Here is a 12,498-nt window from a genome sequence, read left to right on the forward strand (position 1 = left end):
CTACAGGCGTGTGCCACCATGCCTGGCTAATTTTTAAATTTTTTTTTTTTGTAAAGACAGGGTCTCACTATATTGTCCAGGCTGGTCTCAAACTCCTGAGCTCAAGCAATCACCCTGCCTTGGACTCTGAAAGTGCTGGGATTACAGGCATGAGCCATACCAGGCTAGGAGAGATCATTTTTAGAAATGTATTTCAATAAAGCTGTCTGAAAAGTGAAACAAATGTATTCTATTTTCCCAACTGGCTTTTACTGCAAATATTTATATACATCCATATATAAATGGAGATATATATATATTCTATATATATATATGAAATCACATGGGGAAACATGTAGTAAATAATAAAGTTGAAAACTTTGACATGAAAGGAAATACACCCTAGGATGGCAAATACTGCAGAATATGATGCCTTTTTTGGTCTTTTGTCAAAATTTTAGCATTTACTGGAATTTGGAATCTTCCTTCTGTTCATTCCTTGTCACCACCCCCATTTTATCTACCTCTCAAATTCATAGGAATCTCTGAAATTTAACTCTTCTTTTTGTCCAGATATTTACAATGTTTAATATAACTAGTGTGTAATCTCACACACCACCAGTAAGTGTCAGTGGACAGTCACATGACATATTCCTAAGTGAACAGAAACTCAACCCTTTGAGTTCTATAAAACAAATTAATGAAGGCAAATAAAACTTCCTTCGTATTCCTTTCTTCATCCTTTGTGGAACATGGCAATAGAGGAAGGTCTAGGAAGAAGAGTTAAGAAGATGCAAAATGAAAAAAAAAGGCGATTTCAACAAAATTACTTTATTAAAAAAGCATATGATGAAAAATGACATACAATATACACATATGAATATAATTACGTGACAGCTGACATACAGAACAATGCATTTATGGCATTAGACAGAGAAAATGTTTATATAATGCTGTGAGATCTCAAGTTCTCTATTGGATTCGTCTTTCCTAGATAGGTATCTGCTGTAGCTGCTAACAATGATTTTCTGGATCAACAGTCAAAAGAAATTTTTTTTTCCTTATTTAAAAAATCCAAATAGATTCTGGCAAATTGAGGTTCACAATGAGTGGGTACATTATCAGCTGCCTCTCCAAATATGTTAAGCAGACTTTTATATCCATGCAGGTTGAAGAGAAAACATTTCTTTCTTTCTTTTTTTTTTTTTGAGACGGAGTTTCGCTCTTGTCACCCAGGCTGGAGTGCAGTCGCACAATTTCGGCTCACTGGAACCTCCACCTCTTGGGCTCAAGCCATTCTCCTGCCTCAGCCTCCTGAGTAGCTGGGATTACAGGCATGTGCCACCACACCCAGCTAATTTTGTATTTTTAGTAGAGATGGGGTTTTGGCCAGGCTGGTCTCCAACTCCTGACCTCAGGTGATCTGCCCATCTCGGCCTCCCAAAGTGCTGGGATCACAGGCGTGAGCCACCGCGCCCGGCATGAAGAGAAAACATTTCTAAACTTGCTTTGTATTTAGATGGACAGCTTTAGAAAGGAGGAGACAGCAACATGTATTTTTCCATACTGTGTGGTGGGAAACAAACACCAGTAGAATAACAATATGGAAGACAGCAAGGCAGATTTCATTACGGTAGAGTGCCTACACTTCCTCATAACTTGGATTTACACACTGCAAATCCTCTGATCTGATTACCTCCAGTGATCACGTAAAATACTGGCTTTAAACTCTTTGCCTTAGTGATAAAACAGCCACTTTGATTCACAACGAGACATTCACAATAAAGTATATTGTAAACGTACCTGTCCACAGCCCGGGGCATTGCACACAAACGGTCTGTCGTCTCCCATATTTCATATAGCAGAGAGGAGCTGAGGAGGGGGAGGTGAGGGAAAAAGTTATGTTAAATATGCTGGAGCAAAAAAAAAAAAAAAGTGCTTCAAAAATATCAACCCTAGAAACAGGTGTTCCACGAATGCCATCTATCAAAGTTGTAAACACAGGCTACTTTGGGGAGACCCATTAGACAGGTGGCATATGATCTACTGTGTCTCAACTGAAACTTTTAATTAGAAAGAATGAGATCTAAATAGTCAAGGAATTTCAAACCTTTGCTAGATTTTCCCTCTTTCTACTACAGTATATAACACACTTCTCCAGTCTGTTGAATTACAACTAGTGCAGTTCCTTATGTCAATAAATTCACTGAACGCTCGATGCGGAAGCCATATTTCTGAACGAGAGAAGACCAAAATTTGTCATTTAATTAATTAAGGGATTATAGGAGGGGTGCTCCATTTTACAGGGCCATAATCTGGCTCCCTGGTGTATAAACTACGAGACTGTTGGCAAGGGCTGTTTATCCCATATTATTGCCAAAGAAAACAAAGCACCCATCCTATTGGGCTACATGGGAAATGGCTTTCATTAATAAAAAAATAAAAATAAAAACCGGGAGCCTCCTCCTCCCCCCACCAATCGTCTGTGGCAAATGGAGAAGTATCGATGCCCTTCCCCCTTCTGATTCTATTTACGGCTAGGTTTTTAAAAGCAGCAATAAAACAAATGTCGACTCTTTGGGGGTTTACTGGGTGAACATGTTCCGGCTGTTTGTGCTGCTTTCGGCCAGTGTTCTTGGGCTGCTCTGTTGCAGCCAACAGATGTGTGCTGCTGCAGGGGATGAAAGAAATGGCACTAAAAGGCATCACCATCTATCCCTTCTATTTCTCTGAAGACTTTAACAGGGTTTATACCGTTTTATAAATTATTGAAGCTAAACTCTCAAAGTGTTTATTGAAATTCTTTGTTGAAGAACAATAATTCCAATCTGAATGTGTGGGAGAAATTTCTCATATTCCAACTAGGAATAAAAATAGAAGTGGAGATGGATAAAGATTAGAAATGCAAATCATAGTAAAAAACAATTCCTAAAAGATAAACTGTATTTTGGAAGGTGGAAGAGAAAAATGGAGTGGGGGGTAAAATAGTCTTATAAACTCCTAAAGGATATTTTCAAACATCCTTCCATGAAAGAGAAAGGTATACAAAAGAATACGAACGAGGGAAGATGAGAGAGGAACTACAATTTGAATATGCCTGCAAGTGACTTCAGAACTGTAACCAAATTTCAAATTTTTATCTTGGAAATAAACTGAAATGTCAGGACAATCTGTCAGGCTCGCGTTGAAATAAAATGTTAACGTGCTAGACTGAATCTGGTAATCGGAAAACCATGCTTAAAACTCAGAGGGTAGCTAGGTAACATCTCTCCTACTCTCTTAGGACTCACTGTGGGGTTAGAAACCAGTATTTCTCGTTGTCTAATCAGTAATTCCACAACTAATCGGTGTTTAAAATTGTGGGGTGCCCCATAAAATAGAAGGGGTTTCTTGGTCATCTTTCAGTGTGATAGAAACATGGTCTAACTAGGAAGGAAAATGATGCTACAGCACTACTGTAATGGAACAGAGCCTATACGTACATACATGTACATGGATTTATATCACATTTAGCCAGGATAAATTGCTTCAATAAATTCTGTTCCTAGGAGAGGCCAGCTCAAGCTGATGATTGGGTACTGGGAAATGAGAGCTTCATTCTTCTTCACACAGCCCCAGGATGAGGGGGGTTTTCTGGTTGGTTGGTTTGTTTTAAATACATGATTTTTTTAGCACTTTCGGGAACTACAACATGCTACAAAAAATAAATACAAGTAAACAAAAGTAAATAAATGCAATGACCAGGACCATTAAGGCTGAAAACTTAGAGCATGTCTGGAAAGCAATTCATCTCTGCAAAAATTCCTAACTCCTGTGCTAGAGAAAATTTCACTACATGTCCCAGAATCTGCTTTCCTAATATAATCACAAAATGAGAATTTTATTTCAACGAGGTCCTCTAATATATTTTCAACCAGGAAGTAAACTACAAGGGCTAGAGTAGACACAACACAAGGATCAGGCAGGATTCCTTACTTTTATCTTGATTCTGTTATTTGATGCTAAATTTTCTCATTTTTCTACCTATTTAGAGGAGGGAAAGAGTTCTTGCTGAGAAGTGGGACAGTATTGGCATAGGAAGTGGTGAAATAAATTCTGGAATGGCTTCCCTCAAACCACAAAATTCAAAATGTAACTTGCCTTTGCACAATCACATCACACTATATGGCTTCCAAATTTTATTTAGTGGCACACTTACTAGAAAATAGAGATGAAAAATCATGACTTTCTGAAAGAAAAAAAAACAAAAACAAAAAAATTTGGGGGGAAAAAGCATTAAAATCTAACAGAAGTAAGTATTTTCATTGCTCTTAAATATTCAACTGACAGCCACTAACTAGGATTTCCTGCTTCCTTCTAAATTTGCTGGCCTTTGTTTTACCATTTTCACCAAAGGGAGATCACAATGAGAGGAAGAAGCCTCTCTTCTTAAACACCCACAATTATTCTTAAATCTTTCCCTCAATCTCTTGCCTCTTGTCGTTTCCATTATTCTTGTTTAAAATTTTTTTCACTCTAAAGTGATTTTTAAAATTTAAGTATTTAACAAAAATAAGAATGATCTGTCTCCCCATTAAAAAAAAAAACACAGCTAACACCTTTTTTAAAAAAATTTCTCCTTCACTCCTGGTCTGCTGCATCAATTGCTACATATAAAGAATGTCATTTTGCTGATTTCTATCTAACACTTAAAACAAATCTTTAATTATCAGTGAGGTCTCACTGATGCCATCTCAAAAACAAAAAGCAACACATTTCTGTAGTGTAAACAGACTGAGACATAAAGGGAAATCTTGAAAAACAATGCTGCCACTCACTAGAATTTAACTCACAGCTCATTTATAACCATACTGCTTGACAAGCAGATCATGTGTCTGGGCATGGCACTCAGTGTGTCATCTCCTTCCCAACCTATTCTTCAGGATGAAACATAAGCATTTTATAGAACTAAACAATAAATGACAGAAGAGGGATACACACATTAAGAAGCACTGACAAGGAGAAGTGGGATGCTTTCAGCAAACATCTTAGAACAGGGAAGACAAAGATGCATAAAAAAGCTGTCCTAGAGGCCAACATCTGCAGAAAAGGCTCAGGTACTCAGTCACCAGAATTTTTTAAATGATTAAAAAAACTTAATACTTACTCAAAAGAGAAAGTTACGTAAATGCTGGGAGAGAACTGAAGAAAACCCAAGATTTAGAGAATGATTTTTAATAACTGAGATAATTTCATAAAATCTCAGAGGTAGATCCTAAAATGGTCACTGTGTAAGAAAACAGATTATTTATGTATATCTAGATATATGTCTATATCTATATATTTTAATAGACTAAGCATGGAGTCTGTCACTGAGGACTACAAAGTAAATTCTCTAAACCTCGTGTGATATTACCATTACAATATAATTTAATAAGAAAAAAGAATGCAGATATGGTGTGATGTGATCTTTTCTCTAGTAACCAACTGATGTTAATAAGATGGCCCAACTCTAAGCAAGGAATAAAAGCCACATACAAACACATCCAGGGGCCTGTTATCAGGTTCCTAATGACAAAAAGCAGATACTGCTAGGTACAAAAAAATTAGAAGGATAATGCACTGTAAGTATCAAAGAGTCATAAAAATCTAGAAGATGTTAAGATTAGCTATCATTCATTCATTCATTAATTCATTCAGAAACCACTAATAAGGAACTACCAAGTGCTAGGCAAAGTGGATATAAAAACAAAAAGACAATAGGCCTTTACACAAAAATAATATTTTACTCATCTGTCATGAAAGAAATCATCATCATTAAGAATGATGGCTTAATTTACAAGTTCAATTAGTCAGAGGTTGATCAGTATACATATCATTTAGACGCTATGTATATGGTCATTTATCAAATTATTTTGCTAGCAACTCCAGATTATAAAAAAGAGGAGTTAACAGTCTTAGTAAAAGATTTAATAAGGAGCCAGGCACGGTGGTTCATGCCTGTAATCCCAGCACTTTGGGAGGCGGAGGCAGGCAGATCACCCGAGGTCAGGAGTTTGAGACCAGCCTGACCAACATGGTGAAACCCTGTCTCTACTAAAAATACAAACATTAGCCAGGCATGGTGGCGCATGCCTGTAATCCCAGCTACTTGGGAGGCTGAGGCAGGAGAATTGCTTGAACCCAGGAGGCAGAGTTTGCAGTGAGCTGAGATTGCGCCATTGCACTCCAGCCTGGGCAACAAGAGTGAAATTCTGTCTCAAAAAAAAAAAAAAAAAAAAGATTTAAGAAGGAAGAAGTTTGAAATTAATAACCGTAATTTGCTTTTTGGATTATACACATTTAGTGAGTTTTAAAATTCATTAATTCACCAAATAATTTACTCAGTGCCTAAGCACAGTGCCATATGCCCTAGGCCCAAGTAATTCAAGAGTAAATGAGACAGATATGATTTCTGCCCTCATAGAGCTTATTTACATTCTAAAAGGAAGAAACAAGTAATAAGCAAGTAAGCTAAATAATTTTAGATTAACAGCAGATAACTGCTATTAAAGGAAAATGAAATTGTGATGTGTTAGTGACTGGGTGAGGGTTATTTCAGTTTTCTGACTAGAAAGGGGATGGCTGCATTATCTGTAATCAAAAGAGGTATGGGGTAGAATATAGAGATCTAGATTAAAACTTCAGGAAGCCTTTCTTCTCACAACACAGTAGATATTCAATAAATATTCACTGATTTAATATTTAATAAATATTTAAAGTCTATATTAAGTTTGCACTTAACTTCAGGTTTCTGCAGAAAGCTGCTGGATCCACAAAATATTTGCTATGCAGGTATTTATGTATTTAAGGCTACACATATTTTAAATCCATATTTATGACTATGTTATGCCTAAGGCACTTTATATGACCACAGCCAACCAAGTCTATGCTTTTGTCACCCAAATAACATGAAGCTCTGTAGTTTTTGGTTACACTGCTAAAAATGGAAAGAAGGGAGTAGTTTGTCAAGTTAACCCCTAATCAAACCTTAAAAACAAAACCTCACCTGAGCTATTAAGATATATATATATATATTCAAGTACAAGAGAATGCCAATAGAGTATGCAGCAGAAAGGGCACTTTTTTTTTTTGAGACGGAGTTTCGCTTTTGTTGCCCAGGTTAGAGTGAGTGCAATGGCATGATCTCGGCTCACCACAACCTCTGCCTCCCGGATTCAAGCGATTCTCCTACCTCAGCCTCCCAAGTAGCTGAGATTACAGGCATGTGCCACCACGCCTGGCTAATTTTGTATTTTTAGTAGAGATGGGGTTTCTCCATGTTGGTCAGGCTGGTCTCCAACTCCAGACCTTAGGTGATCCACCCGCCTTGGTCTCCCAAAGTGCTGGGATTACAGACATGAGCCACTGTGCCTGGCCTGGCACGTTTTTTTTTAAATTTTAATATTATTATACTTTAAGTTTTAGGGTACATGTGCACAACGTGCAGGTTTGTTACATATGTATACATGTGCCATGTTGGTGTGCTGCACCCATTAACTTGTCATTTACATTAGGTATATCTCCTAATGCTATCCCTCCCCCCTCCCCCCACCCCACAACAGTCCCCAGTGTGTGATGTTCCCCTTCCTGTGTCCATGTGTTCTCATTGTTCAATTCCCACCTATAAGTGAGAACATGCGGTGTTTGGTTTTTTGTCTTTGCGATAGTTTGCTGAGAATGATGGTTTCCAGTTTCATCCATGTCCCTACAAAGGACATGAACTCATCATTTTTATGGCTGCATAGTATTCCATGGTGTATATGTGCCAAATTTTCTTAATCCAGTCTATCGTTGATGGACATTTAGGTTGGTTCCAAGTCTTTGCTATTGTGAATAGTGCCGCTATAAACATACGTGTGCATGTGTCTTTATAGCAGCATGATTTATAATCCTTTGGGTATATATCCAGTAATGGGATGGCTGGGTCAAATGGTATTTCTAGTTCTAGATCCCTGAGGAATGGCCACACTGACTTCCACAATGGTTGAACTAGTTTACAGTCCCACCAACAGTGTAAAAGTGTTCCTATTTCTCCACATCCTTTCCAGCACCTGTTGTTTCCTAACTTTTTAATGATTGCCATTCTAACTGGTGTGAGATGGTACCTCATTGTGGTTTTGATTTGCATTTCTCTGATGGCCTGGCACTTTTATATAGTACTTTTGGGAGTACATATTTAGACGATCTTTCTGGAAGTCAATTTGGCAATATTTATATTAAATGTCTTAAAATGTTTTATATCCTTTGAACATTTCATTCTTCTTTCAGTCTCTCTATTCTAAGGATAAAACCAGACATGTGGACCATTTTTGCATTGAGCGTTTAACCACAGTCATCTTTATGACCAAAAAAGAACAGGAATTTAAACAAGAATGGATAAATATAAATTAAGGTACTGCCTTATAATAAACTATCTTTAAGTTATAAAAGAATAACATTTTGAAAACTAAAAATATGAGAAAATGCCGTATGTTAAATGGGAAAAAAAAACAGAATATAAAATTGTACATGCACCATAATTGTAAATCTACAGAAAAGCAAACAAAATAATAAGCATAGAAAAGATAAGGGAATTAACATCAAAATGTTGATAATGGTTATCTCTGGATAATGGCATCCTAGGTGATTCTATTTTCTTCCTTGTACTTTTAGTATTTTTCAAAGTCTCTACAATAATCACAGATTGCTTTTAGTAAATCAAAAAATTATAATGTAATCTAATAAGAAAAAAGAATGCAGATATGCATGATTGAAAAAAGTCTGAGTTGGCCAGGCGCAGTGGCTCACTCCTGTAATCCCAGCACTCTGGGAGGCCGAGGCGGGCAGATCACGAGGTCAAGAGATCGAGACCATCCTGGCCAACACGGTGAAACTCCATCTCTACTAAAAATACAAAAAAATTAGCTGGGTGTGGTGGTGCATGCCTGTAGTCCCAGCTACCCAGGAGGCTGAGGCAGAAGAATCACTTGAACCCAGGAGGCAGAGGTTGCAGTGAGCTGAGATTGTGCCACTGCGCTCCAGCCTGGTGATAGAACAAGACTCTGTCTCAAAAAAAAAAAAAAAAAAAGAAAGAAGTCTGAGTTTAAAAAAAGAGGTCCATATCTGCCTATTCTAAAGCACTAAACAGTATATTTAAAAATTATACAAAACTACTCATTTTCTAACTACAAAGAAACAGAACCAAGTGACAAATTAAGTTCAAAAAGGACCATAAAAAATTCTAAAGTTATAAACCGTTTCATATAGAAACAAACACGGTGGAAACTCGTTTATAAACACACAAGGTAAAACAGGCAATTCAAAATAGCTCCTCCTTTTGTTACCTTCCAGGACCCATTTTGAATGCTTCCTAACAACAATTATGCTTATATCAGACAATCAGAAATTGCCCCAACCATGCATCACAAAGGGAATATAGAGCTGAAACCAAGTTTAGCAGGTACCGAATACCTTTCAGCTCAGTACAAACTAGCTGAAAAACTTAGAAAGGTACCCAAACAGAGCTCTATGGGCTCTATTTCTTTATGATAATAAAAAAATTATATGCAAACAGCTCTCTTTTAAACACACAACTTCAGTTACCACGTTTCAGACTCTAAGATAATTTAGCTGCCATTAAGCAAAGAGTACAAATACGAGATCTTCGCCACAGCAGTCTCAACATTTTATATTCTCCCTAGGATACTCAGTGCTGCTCTGATTTCCATTACATCTAGCAAAGTGACTTAAGATTCCAGTTAACACATGAACTGTGAGACTATAATGCAGGTTATGGGAACCCCAGAAAACAAAGTAGACTACTCAAGTTTTACTAGGCAGTAGATTATTTAGGTATTAAAATTTCTCTTCATAGGCCAGGTGCCATGGCTCACACCTGTAATCCCAACACTTTAGGAGGCTGAGGTCAGAGGACAGCTTGAGGTCCGGAGTTCAAGACCAGTCTAGCCAACAAAGCAAGAGCCTGTTTCTTTTCTTTCTCTTTTTTCCTTTTTTTTTTTTTTGAGACAGGGTTCTGCTCTTGTTGCCCAGGCTGGAGTCCAATGGTGTGTTCTCAGCTCACCACAACCTCTGCCTTCCAGGTTCAAGCGATTCTCCTGCCTCAGCCTCCCAAGTAGCTGGGATTACAGGCATGCGCCACCACATGCAGCTAATTTTGTATTTTTAGTAGAGACGGGGTTTCTCCATGTTGGTCAGACTGGTCTCCAACTCCCGACCTCAGGTGATCTGCCCGCCTCAGCCTCCCAAAGTGCTGGGATTATAGGCATGAGCCACTCCGCCTGGCCACGAGACCCTGTTTCTTAAAAAAAAAAAAAAAAAATTAGCCATGCACAGTGGTGTGTGCCTGTAGTTCCAGCTACTCGGGAGCTCGGGAGACCGAGATGAGAGGATCCCTTGAGCCCAAGAGTTCAAGGTGGTAGTGAGCTATGATCACACCACGGCACTCCAGCCTGGGTGATAGACTGGGACTCTTAAAAAAAAAAAAAAAAGTTCATAAATTCTGGATTAATTTTCCATTGAATTATTTAGCATAATAATAGTTTAGCATATATTATCTCAATACTAAATCAAATGTCCCAAAAGGATATGCTGAAAGCATATATGTACCACTATAATCTTAAACTAATTAGCCTTATTGTTTTAAATGTTATGCTTTTTTTTTTTTTTAGACAGGGTCTTGCTCTGTCGCCCAGGCTGGAGTGCAGTGGTGTGATCTTGGCTTACTGCAACCTTTGCCTCCTGGGTTCAACAGATTCTCATGCCTCAGCCTCTTGAGTAGCTGGGACTATAGGCACGCACCACCACGCCCGGCTAATTTTTGTATTTTTAGTAGAGACGGGGTTTCACCATGTTAGCCAGGCTGGTTTCGAACTCCTGACCTCAAGTGATCCGCCCGCCTCGGCCTCCCAAAGTGCTGGGATTACAGGCGTGAGCCACCGTGCCCGGATTTTAGCCTTATTGTTTTATATTAGTGTTTTGTAAAGCACTTGCTAACAGACTGGAAAACTGAGGCAGAGAGTTACAAAATATATATAGACAAAAAAGGTCAAGGGGTTAAGGTCAGTCTGATCCTAGTTACCTGTTCTCATACATTCCAAACGAGATACAAAAATGGGCCAGGTGCAGTGGCTCACACCTGTAATCCCAGCACTTTGGGACGACGAGGCAGGTGGATCCCTTCAGGCCAGACGTTGAAGACCAGTCTGGCTAACATGGTGAAACCCTATCTCTACTAAAAATACAAAAATTAGCCGGGTGTCATGGCAGGCACCTGTAATCCCAGCTACTTGGGAGGGTGAGGTGGGAGAATCACTTGAACCCAGAAGGCGGAGGTTGCAGTGAGCTGAGATCACACCACTGCACTCCAGCCTGGGCAATAGAGTGAGACTCTGTCTCAAAAAAAAAAAAAAAAAAAGGTACAAGAATGGACACCACATCTATTTACAACCTCTAAAAAGTTGTCTACTTACAACTGAATCATGTTTTACCAACACTTCAGAGCGTAACAGGTACTGTTATATATGCTTATTATATATAAACATGTTACATATGCTTATTATATAAATAAATGTCCCGAAACATGAATTTGAGGGGCTACATGTTCTGGGGTATCATTTTATTTAGGAAAATTAAGTGATGCTCATAGTTTGTTTTTTATGGTGAGTTTTCTTGTTTGTTTGAGACAAGGTCTCGCTGTCACCCAGGCTGGAGTACAGTGGCATGATCACAGTTCACTACAGCCTCGACCTCCTAGTTCAAGTGATCCTCCTGTCTCGGCCTCTTGAGTAGCTGGGACTATAGGTGCACACCACCATGCCCAGCTCATTTTTTTTTTTTGTAGAGACAGGGGGTCTTGCCATGTAGCCCAGGCTGGTCTCAAAATTCCTGGGCTCAAGCGATCCTCCTGCCTTGGCCTCCCAAAGTTCTGGGATTACAAGGGTGAGCCATTGTACCCAGCTAATATTCACATTTTTAACATTAAGCATGTTTTATTGTAATTATTTTAAAATTCATTATCCAGGCTGGGTGTGGTGGCTCACACCTGTAATCCCGGCATTTTGGGAGGCCAAGGTGGGCAGATTACGAGGTCAGGAGATCGAGACACTCCTGGCCAAAATGGTGAAACCCCGTCTCTACCAAAAATACAAAAATTAGCTGGGCATGGTGGCACGTGCTCCGGAGGCTGAGGCAGGAGAATCGCTCAAACCAGGGAGTTGGAGGTTGCAGTGGGCCGAGATCACGCCACTGCACTCCAGCCTGGTGACAGAGCGAGACTCTATCGCAAAACAAACAAACAAACAAACAAAATTCTTAATCCAGTAATAGTATATATGATGAGTTAGCAAACTTCAACTCATGGGCAAAATTCAGCCTATCACCTATTTTTATATGGCCCACAAGCTAAGAGTAGTTTTTACATTTTTCTTTTCTTTTCTTTTTGAGACAGAGTCTCACTCTGTTGCCCAGGTTAGAGTGCAGTAACGGGATCTTGGCTCACTG

General features: G+C 38.8%; 2 protein-coding genes across 14 annotated transcripts in view, besides 1 other annotated feature; both read right to left on the minus strand.

Moving 5' to 3' along the window:
- ATF7-NPFF (ATF7-NPFF readthrough) overlaps nt 1-12,498 on the minus strand; it is a 119,695-nt gene that overhangs the window by 92,483 nt on the left and 14,714 nt on the right. For all 3 annotated transcript variants that reach the window (NR_159377.1, NM_001366560.1, NM_001366559.1), the window contains exon 2: nt 1,783-1,851. Coding sequence is in view for 2 of the 3 variants with exons in the window: in NM_001366560.1 (NP_001353489.1) it covers nt 1,783-1,830 (48 nt within the window). In the remaining variant the exon portion in view is untranslated. The remainder of the gene's footprint in view (nt 1-1,782; nt 1,852-12,498) is intronic.
- Nucleotides 1-12,498, minus strand: part of ATF7 (activating transcription factor 7) — a 118,527-nt gene that overhangs the window by 91,315 nt on the left and 14,714 nt on the right. For all 11 annotated transcript variants that reach the window (NR_073163.2, NM_001366561.2, NM_001130060.2 and 8 more), the window contains exon 2: nt 1,783-1,851. Coding sequence is in view for 10 of the 11 variants with exons in the window: in NM_001366561.2 (NP_001353490.1) it covers nt 1,783-1,837 (55 nt within the window). In the remaining variant the exon portion in view is untranslated. The remainder of the gene's footprint in view (nt 1-1,782; nt 1,852-12,498) is intronic.
- Nucleotides 4,722-4,922: a silencer, noted in NCBI's record as "peak1736 fragment used in MPRA reporter construct". NCBI's record gives its function as "represses an SCP1 promoter by STARR-seq MPRAs in K562 erythroleukemia cells {active_cell/tissue: K562}" and the evidence as "EXISTENCE:reporter gene assay evidence [ECO:0000049][PMID:32103011]".

This window comes from Homo sapiens, chromosome 12 (assembly GCF_000001405.40).
Source record: "Homo sapiens chromosome 12, GRCh38.p14 Primary Assembly".
Classification (NCBI taxonomy): Eukaryota; Metazoa; Chordata; class Mammalia; order Primates; family Hominidae; genus Homo; species Homo sapiens.